This window comes from Homo sapiens, chromosome 18 (assembly GCF_000001405.40).
Source record: "Homo sapiens chromosome 18, GRCh38.p14 Primary Assembly".
NCBI classification, from domain to species: domain Eukaryota; kingdom Metazoa; phylum Chordata; class Mammalia; order Primates; family Hominidae; genus Homo; species Homo sapiens.
Genome location: NC_000018.10, coordinates 5,983,484 through 5,997,780, shown reverse-complemented (window position 1 = coordinate 5,997,780; position 14,297 = coordinate 5,983,484). Strand labels below are relative to the sequence as shown.

The following is a 14,297-nucleotide window of genomic DNA, read 5'->3' as shown; positions in this document are numbered from 1 at the left end:
CAAGGTTAAGGACGCGTTGGTGACACAGCCTCAGGAGGTCCTGAGGACATGTGCCCAAGGTGATCAGGGCACAGCTTGGCTTTATACATTTTAGGAGACATGAGACATCAATCAGTATGTGTAAGATTTACATTGGTTCCGTCTGGAAAGGTGGGACAACTCAAGGTGGGGGAGGGGGCTTCCAGCTAGATAAGAGACAAATGGTTGCATTCTTTTGAGTCTCTGATTAGCTTTTCTTGAAATACACAATTTACATGTGAGAGGAAGGTAGAGGGATAGTCACTTATGCCTTGTTCTGGTTCAGTGAAACCACAGGGCTGAGGAAGCAATCAGATATGCATTTGTCTCATGCATTTGTCAGTGAGGCCCACTGGGATGACTTTGAGTTCTGTCTGTCCTTTGTCCACAAGGAATTTCCTGATGGGCAAATTGTGAGGAAGGTGTGTAGCTTTTGAATCTCTGTCACTATTTTGTTTAGGAATAAGATGGGAGGCGAGTTTGCCTGACATAGTTCACAGCTTGAGTGTTCCCAGCTTTACTTTTCCCTTGATTTAGTGATTTTGGGGACCTGAGATTTATTTTCCTTTCACATACTTAAAATCATCTCTAGATTACTTATACCTAACACAGCGTAAATGCAAAGTACACAGTTATTATATTAATACTTAATTGCTTTTTTACTTGTAGTGTTTTTACTATTGTAATGTTTTTTATTGTTTAGTTTTTTCCCAAGTATTTTCAACCTGCAATTGGTTGAATCCATGACATGGATACTGAGGATCAATTGTGCTTCTAAAATGCACCCCTCCTGAGTTAGTCTCCCCACCTCTCTTTTAAATCCCCAAATGAACTGGATCGGGAGGGAAAATAAAACTATTAAGAGCTACTTTTGATATTGGTGGTTTTAGCTTCATTTCCTTTGATCCATGTAAGGAATTCATTAATTTAGTATCTAAATAGGGCTTAAGTCCTGCCCCTTATAAAGAAACTCCTGCTGCCCCTCAGTCCCCTGCCCTTCAATGCTCCACTGGTCCACAGCTGACTTTCTGCTGCTTTCTGGATTCACATCATTGTCTTGATGTGCTCACTCTTGGCATCTTCTACATACTTCATAACCTGCACTGATGGTGTGGTCAGGCCCAGTCTTTTCCCACGGAAAAGCTTCTCTGAGCTTCATGTTAGGGATGATGATGGAGAGAGCAAGCACACTGAGTAGAACCCCAGAGCGCACCTACCATAGCCACAGCTGCTAGAGTGCTGCATGCTGGTCCCGGCGTCTGGCCCAGATCGGTGTTTCTTAGCCCAGACCCCCTTTTAACCCTTCTCTTGTTTGGAAAACAAAAACAAAAACAAAAACGTACAGCTCACTGCCAGCGCTCCATTTTACATAAACATGCTCTTTGAGGCTGAAGCAAATCTTACTGATTTTCAGTGTGGAGATGAAATATAAAAACTGTTCTTGGAGTTATTGCTAAACAGAACTAACATCAAGATCGTCTGAATCATCAGAATCATCTATTTCGGAAAAAATCAGATTCATCAAGTGAATCTTTGGCCAACCACTGTTCCAGAACGATGTTAACATCATGTGTAGGAATGCTACATTTTCTAGGATTTGACATTTTTAGCTGTCGAGAATTACTATATTTTGTAAATGGAAATATCACTAGTTAGAATGCTATAAATAGAATGATGTCTTTTGTTTCCAAAGTCGATATGCTAGAGTGATGCAAAAATAATAATAAAAGCAAAATATTTGCAGTAAAGTTATCAATACTGCAGCCACACACGCCTCCAGCTGGTGAGTATTCTCAGGGCAAACTGGAAAAGGGTTAATAAACAAAAATCTCCTGCCCTTTTTTCATGGAAATTGAAAACTCAAAATAACAAAGACAGCGTTGCTAAGTAGCGGGGATCAATGGACCCAGCTTGGCTTCTCCCTACCAGCCATGCCCTGTAGGGTGGCATTTTCCTGCTAAGTAGTGGGGATCAGTGGACCCAGCCTCACTCCTTCCTGCCAGCCATGCTCTTAGGGTAACATTTTCCTGCCCCTTCTCCTCTGCTGTCATTTTACTGCACGAGTTCTTAGAACTCCCAAATCTGTCTTTTGAGTATTCCCTCAGCTCTATTTGCAGAGTTCTGTCTCTCCAGAAGTGCGAAGGCTCATTCTTGGTCGCATGGGTGAAATAATCATCCAAACTTCCCTGAAAACAGAAAGAAAAGAGCAAAGCTAGGTACACATCTAGCTTACTTGAAAGCATCTCCTTCACGATAACCTTGGCTGGATTCAGAGTTCCCATTTTCTTATTTTCACAAATGAAATTGTCATAAATCAGAAAGACTACCTTGTAAATAACTCTTCAAAAATAGCTAGTCTGTAGTATGTTGAATAAGAAAAAAAAATGGTTCAGGCTTTGGCCCCCGGCATGGCTTCACAGGGCAGTAAACGTGGAGCCCAGCGTCACTGTCACCGTCACCATGCAGGGACACACAATGGCGAGAATGTTCAGATTTAATCAACCCAGGAGCCCACTGCCATGTTATTTCGTAAGTCCTTGATTGCATCTTTACCTTGCAGTATCCCTGCATGGCGTGGTCGCCGCTGTGGAAAGCACAGATGGTGATTGTCAGACCCATGCATCAAACACGTAGCCCTCCTGGACGCACATGTTTCTCTAGCTGGCGCTATGAGTGTGTCTGTTTTCCAACCATTTTGAAAATTAGCTTTCAATATACTTTGGAAAAGTCACATTTCTGTATGCATCCTCTTCTAGTAATTATAAAGTCTCACTAAATCAGAATGATGAACAAAAGGGAGGCTTATCTCAGTGTAGAGGGGATAAAACACCCTGAATAATTGTAGAACATTTGTAAAGGCATATAAATGTGTGACATCTAAATCTACAAGATTATGGTTTTTATGTGGAAGAGAAAATTTACAATTTCAAGGGTATTCCTGAGAGCAGAACTGGGACAAAATGATAGAAGTTGAAGGAGACAGTTTTACTTCAGTCTAAGGAGAACCCAGCAAGTATTGGGGCCCCTGCTTGGTGGAGTCGCTTACCTCCTGGAGGTGACCTCTTGGAGGTAACTCTCTGTCGCTGGAGGCAGTCTGGTCCCTATCTTTCCAAGAGAGCAGTACAGTGGCATGGGAGCCAGCGTTAGTGGAGACTGAGCCCACCATGCCTGGCTTCAAATCTTACTTTTACTATTAATACTTATTAACTTTGCAACTGTGGGCAAATTTACCCCTCTGTGCCTGCCCCACCTGCTTCCCTCGTAATGGGGCTGATAATTTTGAGTTGATATTTGGAAAAATTAGAACAAGAAGTGGCAGGTACATAGTAAGTGCCATGTGAGCATCTAAGGTAAGTAAGGGAAATATTTTCTAAGGTGTCTGAGAGATATCAAAGAAGGTCTTTTTTGAGCACCTGCTTTGTGCTAAGCATTAAACCAGACACTGAAGACATAGCAGTAAGTGAGACGGACACAGGCCCAGCCTCCACGCAGCTCACAATTGTGCTAGAGAAAGACAAAAAGCAGATGCCTGGCCGGTAGAGGCACTTTGGTGACAGGGGATGCCCTGGGTCTGGGGTTCACTGCGCAGTGCCTAGGCTTTCCGGAGGAGGGCTTCAGAGGAAGTACCTGCATGCCCCAGGAGCAGAGGGCCTGGTGGACAGGGAGGTAGATGGTGCAGATTATGTTCCTGGAAGAGAAAGGGGCATGAACCACAAAAGCCGGGTTCCAGCGTCGCCAGTGGCTGCAGGCACTTTGAGGCTCTGGTGATTTTGTTTGGGACCGTTGTTCCTTTGAACCCCTGGCTTATTCATTCATTCCTTCATCTAACTTTACTAACATAATAGAGTCTAAAACTTAGTGCAAAAACATGTATTTTTTTTAACTTTACCCAGAAAGAACTGCATTGTTACAAATTCCATTCCTGTGCCATTTGAATAAAACTATTGGGGAAAATACAGTATCTATTCACATTGTGTCCTTGTAGGAAATAATGGCTATAACCACAATTCAATTTTTTCATTACTTTTCCTACATAGGCTGAAATAACCAACATAATTGTATAATGATTATTATTATAATGCATAATTTTGTAAAATTTTTGCTTGAAGGATCTCTTAGTGGAATTATTTTCTTTGGTGAGCAACAAGTAGTAAAAGTCATTTGGTGTAAATTAACGACTCTGTTTATGCCTAATCCTAAAATAATGGGAAAAAAAACTTGCTCTAGAAGAGCTTGTCCAGGTTAGCTCATCATATTTTAGTTCAGAAATAGAGTGAAATACCAAAAGCTGTTTCACGACCCAAAATAGTGGGCATATGCTCTGTCAATTGAGTAAAATTGTTAAAGCTCTTCTTGGTTTAATTTGCAGAGACCCGTGGCTTGCTCAGTGACACCTAGACAGGCTGTTCTTCAGCCCATTTTCACCCAGCTGTGCTTTGTGCCCAGATTTATCTGGAAAAGTCATTCCATTTGGGAAGAAAGGGTTATTTCTTTGGAAAGAGTTACTTGGAGACATGGATGTCTCTATGGAGAGGTTTATGTGGAAATGTTGCTGTGTAGAAACAGAGGACGGTGTTTATGGGAGGCTTCCTCCTCCTGACAGATACACCTGTGCTCACTTTGGTGTGAGCGCTGGAAAGAGAACAGGCCACGAGGTCACCAGGGCCACCTTTCTTGGAACTTTCAGACATAGCTGGCTGCATAAGATGCTCATTTTTCTCTCAGTCTTGCATTCCACCAACCCATCATCTGTGCCCCCAGGTGATCTTTCTGGAATCGAAATCAGATCGACTTCTCCATTCATGAAACTCTACCTAGCTCCTTGTGTTAGGCTGTTGTTGCATTGCTACTAGGAAATACCAGAGACTGAGTAATTTATAAAGAAAAGAGGTCATATTGGCTCACGGTTCTGCAGGCTGTACAGGAAGCATGGCGACGGCACCTGCGTGGCTTCTGGGGAGGCCTCAGGGAGCTTTTACTCATGGCGGAAGGCGAAGTGGGAGCAGACATGTCACATTACAAAAGCAGGAGCAAGAGGGAGAGAGTGGGGGTGGAGGGTGCCACACACTTTTAAATGACCACATCTCGTGTGAACTCAGAGTGAGAGCTCACTTATCACCAAGGGGATGGCCCAAGCCGCTCATGAGGGATCTTCCTCCATAATTCAGACACTTCCCACCAGGCCCCACCTCCAACACTGGGGATTATATTTCAGCATGAGATTTGGGTGGGGGCAGGCATCCAAACTATATCGCTCCCCGTGAGCTTCCAGGAGTTGTTCAAAGTACTTAATGTTCTTGGGGGATTTCCTGGTCTCCACCCACCTCACTCTCCAGCCTCATGCCCCACACTGTCCCCGCATAATGGGGGATATGATAGTGTGGGGGCACTCTATCAAACATCGTATCATACTACAGGTTTGATACACCCTGTGGCCCAGGCCCCCATAACCAGGCGCCATGTGTACCTCTGCCTGAAAGACCTCAAGCCCCGTCTGCCTAACAGGCTTCTGTCCACCTGAGGGCCCAGCTCAAACCTCCCCTCCCGGGGCTCCTCATCATGCCCTATTGTCAGCCTGAACTCAGCACATCACCCTGTCCTCCTCGCACGTACCTCGTTGCTGCAACCGATTCTTTCCACATATGCCCTTCCTGCTGGACCATGAGTTCATGAGGGTAAAAAATAAGTCTCCTTCATCTTTGTGTCCCAAGAACCTGGTATAATGTTGGATAGATGGATGGATGGATGGATGGATGGATGGATGGATGGATGGATGCACTGGATGGATGTACTGTTGGCCAAAAGCCACAGCCCAGGGCTACACAATAGAGGTTTCTCGGTGAGAGTTGGGGGAAGAGGAGAAGTGTGGGAAATCCCTCCAGGGCAGTGGACATTCACCTCCTGGGGTTGGCTGGGCTCAGCATGTCACTAGGTTCAGCCAGTGTTGATTTTTTTCAGATGACCTGGTATTTTACAGCTGAGCAGGACTCCACAGAACAGAAGTATCTCCCAAACATTCTAATGTGGCTAAACTTTATATATTAACATTTGATTACAGAAATTTTAAAGGTGGGGCTGGCTAATTCTTTGTTCTTTTAAATTCAATTTTTTAAAAATCTTGACACGGCAGCTGTGAATTTTTTGTTATTTTACCTCTAAGATCTTCCTCTTTCCTCGCTCTAGTTATAGAGCAGTGTAAGTGTGAGAATAATTAAACAGGTTACTATTATAGCAGCTTTAGTGTAGACAAAAGATGCCAGGTAGCAAGTGACCAACCTGCCATGTGACTTGATGGGAGTCATTTAGAGTCAATCAACAGAATGTTTATGTGCCTCTTAAAGGCAAAGCCGTGTTCATCTTGAGGACTGAATAAGAGACAGACTCTTCCCTAAACGACTCATTTGCTTAACATGTATTTATTAAGCCCCTACTGTATGCAAGGCACTGGCAAGGCTTACAGTAATGGGAATACAGACAAACTTGCACATACTAAGTACTGACTGTGATAGGAAACATGATGAAAAAGATAGTGTGCTACAGGAGAGAATGAAAGTCATGTACGGGCATGGAAAGAACCTCAATTATATTTGAGGGTCAGCATGGGCCTGTCTGTGGAAGTGCCATTTAATCTGAACTTCTAGGAGTCAGCCAAGCAAAGAGAAGAGGGGTGGGCATTCCAGGAGGAAAGAACAACAGAGGCTACCAGCAAGATGCATTCAGGGGACCAAGAGGAGGCCTGCTGTGGTCAGGACACGGAAACAAGGTGGACTGGGCAAGAGACGAGATCAGAGAGATGGGGAGACAGATGAGTGAATCAGAGAGGAAGAAAATGATATTCCAAGCCTAGGCCCTGTGTGCTTTACACATGTATCTCACTTAATCTTCACGACCATCCCTTACTGCTGCTGTCATGTAAAAGGTACCATTGGTGAGTACTGGGACTGAAGAGTAGCCCATCACACACACACACACACACACACACACACACACACCCACATGAACCCTACTAAAGTTTGAAAGGAATTCCTTCAGGGCTTAGACTTTGTAATAGCTCTCTGGCTGAGCTGATGTCTATATTTGCTAGCTAAGTCTAGATGATGTTTTATAGAGGAAACATGGGACTCAATTACTATCCACGCACATAAGCAAAATTAATATTGATGGCATGTGGAGAGTAGAACACATTCATTCTCTTCATCCCAGCCCTTTTTCATATATATGATACAGATGATTCTGGGTTTGTGACTAAATTCCATTTGTTTGGAGGTGAAATTGTCCACTTTTAGTGAAGTGCAAGAAATTCTTTTCTACAAGTGTTTTCAGTGTATCCTGAAGTCCCCCATGTGAATTAATAACATGCCAAACATTTTCTCTTTGTACTATTGCTTTGTTTGGATTTATTTTGTAAGGAGACATAGATTTCTTTGAGTTAAAGGCCCTCAGAAATCTATATATAACTAGGCACTTAAACAAGAGCAGAGTTATAAAGTAGTTGCCATTTTAGAAGATTTATTTTGTGTGGCAAGTATGGAAAATCGATAGTCCAGCAATACACGTAACCTTCCTGTAGAACAAGATCACCTTTTTATAACCCTACTTTGATCATCTTACTTCCCTGCCCAAAGGCCTTCCCTGGTTCCCCACAGCCAAAGGGAAACAATGCAAGCCCTTCTGAGTGAGTGGCATTCAGAGGCCTCGTTTTGAGCCTGCTTATCTTGAGGATGGACTCTTAGGGATCCCGGAGAGAACGCAAGCTCATCTCACGCCACCTGTCACCTGGTTGTATCTTTGCCCCCAACCAGAGTATAAGGCCCACTCTACTTGCCTTGTGCCCTCACGCTCTCACCCTCACCTCCAGTGGTGCCTGCCCAGCCCTGCACTTGGCCTGCAAAGGGGACCTTCCAAGTGGATTCGTTCCCTCAGTTGCTCAGGACCTACCAGAAATGGTGAGAAAAGACAGGGTGCAGCCTCCAGGAGCAAACAGTCTTATTGTTTGACATGTGAAGTGATTGTGGCCAGTAACATTAGCCTCACCTGAGAGCACATAATAACTGCGGAATCTCAGCTTTCCCTCCCTGCCCCAATTCTGCATAAACAAGATTCCCAAGTGATCTGCCTTGCATGGTAGGGCTTGAGAACCTCTTTAAGGCCCACAGAGGGTCAAATTGGGTGGGTGGGTTGGTTGATTGATCAGTTTTTGTTTGCATGTTTGCTCTACAATGGTTTTACATCTGTGGATTTAAACTGTCCTTCATTTAGCACACTGCTTTTAAAGGCCTGTTAATGTTATGCCATTAGGTTCTGGAGAGCACAACTAAATTATAAGTAAGCAAATACAGATTTATCTATATGGTTTAAAAAATAAAACTTTCCACATACTGCTCATGCTGCATTCTGCCAATATTTTTTTATTTATGCCTTTTTTCAGGATATTGTGCTAGTTCAGAGGTAGTAAATTAGCATTTTGTAGGCCATGTTTGGTCACATACATGATTGTTTGGACAACACAGTTTTGATAAATTTTTAATTCATTGCAAGCATTTAAAAATCAAGAGGTTTTCACATAGAAAGCAGATTTCTAGCTTCTCTTGAAAGCCAGGCAGCCATGGGCCCACATTCCTGATGGCACAGTGGGCTGGAGCTGGGAGATCTCCTAGAAGTGGGGCCTGTAGCCTCCAGTTCCCCACAGGCCCCCACCTCTCTGTCTCCATACTGGCCTCATAGAACCTAGGCGAGTAGTGGAAGTCCTCAAAGGTGCACCACTGGATGACTTGGTGGAGTTTGTCTCTTTCTAGTTACCTTCAGGGTCTTAGTATAGAAGCGCTCCTCACAGAAGGAGAGAAGAGAATGAACTGGTGGTAAGGACAAGTTACAGGACTCTAAGCTATGGTGTCTCAACCCTGGTGACAGGGACCTTGTAAAACTACCAGTTCCCACTTTCCATCCACACCCCTAGAAACTCTTTTAATTGGTATGGGCATCGCCAGATGCCCACATCTCCTCAGATGATTCTAATCTGACTTGACAACCCCTGATCTAGCCCACCTATATTACTTACAAAGAAAAGTGAAATGTGTCAAAAGAGTGATTTTTTTAAATGCATATACATACGTACATACATATATTGACTCATTACTCTGGACATTGATGATTGAAGATGTATGATAATTTTGTCTAGTGGCCTAACATTTACCTTACTTATCTACAGAAAAAAAGAGTTAGCTAAGCAAATGAGTATTATATGCAAGATTGCTCCAAATGCTTTATAGAAAGTAGATTTTTTTAGTGATTTAAATTCAAACATAGACTTAAGCTAAATATAATTTACATTTTCTATTTAAAAAAACAAAGATTTGGAAGAGATGAGCAAGATCTGAATATATCATACAGGGCCCCTCCAACAATCGTAGAATTGTTTTTATCTCATGATCTGTTATCCCATAGCCTAAAATTTTATTTGTATTTTAATTAGCTTAGAATAATTGTTTTGACTGTTGGAATTTAGCTGTGTATGACATAGAAGTATTCATCTAAGAATGACTTTAGAGGGTAACTTTCTGTGATGCTGCAGCTTAAATGGAAAACCACCTCCTTCCCAAGTCCACTGATTTGCTGATGGACTACGTTGTCTTGGCAAGTGAAGTCTCTGCCATCTCTGGCAGCTCTTTCTGATTAGGGATCTGACAAGCACCTAAGTAATTCATGCAATGACTTTATGCAAGAAATTTCATTATTTCTAATAACTTACAGTGTTTTAATATTTTAATGTATTTATGCTTAATTATATATTGTAATATGCATTAGCAGAGCTTCGTCTCTGGATCTAAGTAAAATACAACTAATGCAAAATTTTCTTCCAGTTTTTTTTTTTAAACAGGGAATTAAGTCCTGAAATGAAACTACATGCAAAGACAGCAAGCAATCTCTTGCCAGAGAAAATATTGGCATAATAGATTTGAATGTCCCAGTTTATCAGTTCACTTCACTAAATCCCCAAATCATACACTGGTTTAATTTTTTTTTCAGAAGTTGTATTGCTCACCTTTCCACTAACCTATTTTTAGTAAATTCTGTTTTGTTTTATGAACTTTTACTAAAAGGCAATCTGAGCGAGGGAGACATTGAGAAAGATATATCAAAGAATGTGATTTATGATAATGGCTGCTAAAGGTGGAGAGGGGAGGAGCTGGAACCAGTGCCAAGGTGAGGTTTGGGGATTTATTTATCTGTGTTGCTCGTTGTAGGAGGATGCTAAAGACAGATACAAGTAGCAAGAACTGAAATATAGCTGGCTCCTGTTGAGTGCATCCACACGTGGCCACGGGTCTGTGTGGGGTTTGCGAGTACATTCCCACACTGCTGGGCTTCGCCCCATGGTTGGGGCTGGAGTGAGGGAGGGGACAGTGCAAAAGTGTTAGATTAATGTGAATTTGTGAAGCACTATGTGGCTTTTGAGAAATAAACACATTTTAGAAGACCCTCCATTCTCTCTTTTTCCTTCATTCCTCTTTTAACTTCATAGCACATTTTCCCTTCCCTAGGGAAGTCAAAAGAAGACAAAAGAAGGGAACAAAATGGGGGCATCAGACCCCTCTCCGTCCTGAGCCTCCTACAAGCACTGATGAGGCAGCTGCTCCTTGAGGTCGCTGTAGGCTTGGTCGCCTGAGGCTGGGGCAGACCTTCAGGGTCAGCGAAGCAGCAAGATGCAAAGGCACCACAGACAGCTCAGCCATCCCACTGATGGTGGGAGAGACCTGCTTGCTTTTTCATTTGGGAGTTACCTGCTCCCTGGCCTGGAGGAGAAGGGAGAAAACAGAAAAAGGAGTAATTCCTAACATTTGCATAGCACAATCTCATACAAGGGATTTAATTTCCTTAGCAATCCTATGTTAGTAACTGTGAAGCCTCTTAAAAAATGAGGCTCTGGGAAGTCAGATGTCTGGATGAAGTTTCACAGCAAAGGCACAGTGTAGTTGGACTCGGGCCCATGCCCACTGCCCAAGCCCCTGTACATTCCTCTAGGCTATTGCATGGAAGGCACAGGCTCACTGGCATCGGTTCCAACCAGACAGACTCACTCAGGCAGTTCCCCAATATAGGGAAGGCTCGCTCTGGCACAGAACTATTGGTTTTGTTTTTAGCAGAATTTAACAGTGCCTATTTTGAAATCTTTGCTTAAGGGCACATTTTAAAGTTTAAGAAAAGAAAAATTAACAGCCATCAAAGGCAATGAAGGGAGATGAAAGCTCCAAGCTAGAAGCTCCCAAGGAATGTTTATTAAAGATGACCTCATCATATGATGTTGCATGCAAACACTGAAGTATAAACTTCATAGAGACGAAAAAGCAGAATATTAAGTTAATGGAAAGAGCAGTGAAATGGAAGTCAGGTTCCGGGTTTGATTCCCACCTCATATCATTTGCTAGCTCTATGGCTTCTGAGGCAATCTGCATATCAGTTTCCTCATTTGAACATGGGAACATGGTATAATATCTCACAAGACTACTGGGGGCTCAAATACCATCGTATATGAAATGACTTTTAAACCTCTAGGTGAAAGGTATTCTCATTCATACATGCTCACTTGTTAGGAGACTCAGGGGAACAAGTCAAAGGCAGGCATCTCTTTCGGCCTCTCAGCACCTTCTTATTTCATTCTCAGGTAAATCAGCTGCTCCACCAATACAATTTTTGTGGATTGGTTGCTCTCTCTGGCCAGGTCACTTTTCATTTCCAGACCTCAGCCAAGACTGCATTCTTGCTCAGCACCCCTGGTTGCTGGTCCTAGACACACCTGCCCAGAGTCATACCTGCTGTTGCCCTCTGACCCTCTACAGCATCCCTCTCCAAGATCCCAACCACAAAATACCTCCTTTGAATTAGCTTCTCTCCTGGTCCATTTGTAGCATCATCCCCATCCCTCACTTCTACTGTGTGTGATCTCTGTTTTTTGTCCTCAACTTGAGCTGTCTTTCCCTAGTCTCGTGCTCTAAAACCACCCCATGGACATCACACCTTAAGACTTTGCCCTTACTCCCAGGTAGGTAGGTAAATAATTCCCTCAGCATGTCATCTCCCTAAGCCCTCATCTCCAGACCATTTTTTGCCTATTTGTTAAGAACCTTCCTTTATAACTTAAACATCCTTCGGGAATATAACGTAGGGTCCAGAGCACAGACCTGGGAGCCAGGCAGCCTCATTAGGAGTCCTGACTGTGCTACCTTCGGGCAAATCTCTTAGGCAAATTCCATTCCCTTTTTGTGCCTCCTTTTCCTTACTTAAAATCCTTACAACAGTGCCTGGCATGTAGTAAGCACTGCCTGAGTGTTGGGCCATGGAGGACGTGTTCAGGCTTGGTCAGACAAAGGGAAGGAGGACTGGATTTTAGTTACTGGGAACAGAACAAGCAGAGATTTTTGCCCCAATATTTAATAATCTATTCTTTACCTGCAACATTATGTTACCTCCAGGGCTATTCAGGTCAGCCTTAACAAAAATCTGCCTTCCGGTTTCCCACTGATTCCCTAGTATCATCTCTCCCATTCTTGCCTCTGCTTCAATCCATTATGCACTTCTTTCCCAGCTTGTGTTTCTCCTTTGTATCTTCACTAGTTTGCTAGCACTCTCATTTGAACCTTGAGTAGGTAAGAGCTTTTTACTTACATTTCAGAGCAGTTTATAAATAGGCTGCTTAGTTTCAGCCAGCAGGTACAAGCTTTCATTAAATTCTTCCTCCTTCCCATAGTGCTGTTATCTGGAGCTCCCAGGAAAAAAAAAAATGGAAAAGTTGAGAATTATGTTTTCCTAGTCATTAAGACAGCATAGTTTGAGGCCCAAGCAGCAGTTTTTATTTTCCTTACCAAGAATTGACCAATGATTTTGACCAATAATCTATACCTATAAAAATTTTCCCTTCTGAAAAAAATACTCCTAAAGACACGTAGATCATTAGCTATGATTAAGAAAGCCAAGGTCCAAAAATAATTCAGAAACAACATTCAGATTCACTCTGGATGAAAATTACTCTAGCGTATCAATTAATTTTCTCACCAAGAAAGAAATGAGAACATGAGCAGCAATGCTACCTTTGATAGAAATAATGTATCAAGGTGGGGGAAGGGGGACTCCCTTTTCTGTTCAAAATCTGAAATGGAATTACCTCTGGAATATTTTAAAAAGCTTCCCCCCCAAAAAAATATTCAGTTATCTGAAGAATTTCCTGCATTGTGACAGCAACATAATTAAGCATATTTAACATTTTCTTTGGATTTCTATTCATCTGTCGTCATTTTCAGTTTTGAATAGCATAATGGAAGCCACTAAAAAGAGGAAGCCATTAAAGAGAAATCATTTTTCTGTGGTATATGAAAGTTGTCACCATAGTGTTAAGATGGGAAATATTCTACAATAAAGTATGGCTCAATAATGGGATTCAGCAATACTATCATACTTCAGAAATGTGGCCACAATCATTTATCCTTGCATTCCTCCAAAGAATTAACACCAGTATGTCTTAATAAATTTACATGGCCTTTAAATAAATTTCAGATGGGCAGGGTGCGGTGGCTCATGCCTATAATCCCAGCACTTTGGGAGGCTGAGGCAGGCAGATCACCTGAGGTCAGGAGTTCAAGACCAGCCTGGCCAACATGGTGAAAACCCATCTGTACTAAAAATACAAAACTTACTCAGGCACAGTGATATGCACCTGTAGTCCCAGCTACTTGGGAGGCTGAGGCAGGAGAATTGCTTGAACCTAGCAGACAGAGGATGCAGTGAGCCTAGATTACATAATTGCACTCCAGCCTGGGTGTTAGAGGAAGACTCCATCTCAAAAAAAATAAAATTCAGATGATCTTGCCATTCCCAGGTTAGAATAAAATATGACACAATGAAGCCTCACTGTATCATTGAGGAGTGTTTAGTATGAGGAAATCAGCCTACAGAAAGACTGAAAAATCAGAGGCAGTAAGTTCCCTGAAGAGTCCTGGGCTATTTGGGAAGTGGGAGGGGTCACCTAGCCTCAGAAACTTGCTGTGTCTGGTTTTCATCACTGCCATTGTGTTCCGTCACTCCTCAATCCTGTGCTCAGTGTTTTCCCTTTCAAATGGCTTATTAGAGGCTCTGCAGAATGTTCCTAAATATTACCCGTGATAACCAACAGGATCTTGAGAGTGTGGTGACAGCCTACTCGAGTCAGTCTTCTTCAAACGCTAGCTTCAGGAAAGTTGTTCTATTCCCTAACACTGTTTTTTTTTTAATCCCCACCCACACAAACA

At 42.6% G+C, this 14,297-nt stretch overlaps 1 protein-coding gene and 1 long non-coding RNA gene across 24 annotated transcripts in view; one reads left to right on the top strand and one right to left on the bottom strand.

Moving 5' to 3' along the window:
- Positions 1–14,297, top strand: part of L3MBTL4 (L3MBTL histone methyl-lysine binding protein 4) — a 460,543-nt gene that overhangs the window by 417,479 nt on the left and 28,767 nt on the right. The window lies entirely within an intron of this gene.
- The window catches only part of LOC121725015 (uncharacterized), a 93,648-nt gene continuing 87,757 nt past the window's right edge, over positions 8,407–14,297 (bottom strand). Inside the window, exons 2-3 of one of the 2 annotated variants that reach the window (NR_172505.1) lie at positions 12,682–12,778; positions 8,407–10,811 (exon numbers count right to left, since the gene is read on the bottom strand). This is a non-coding gene — a long non-coding RNA (uncharacterized LOC121725015). The remainder of the gene's footprint in view (positions 10,812–12,681; positions 12,779–14,297) is intronic. The other variant, NR_172504.1, reaches the window with a different exon arrangement.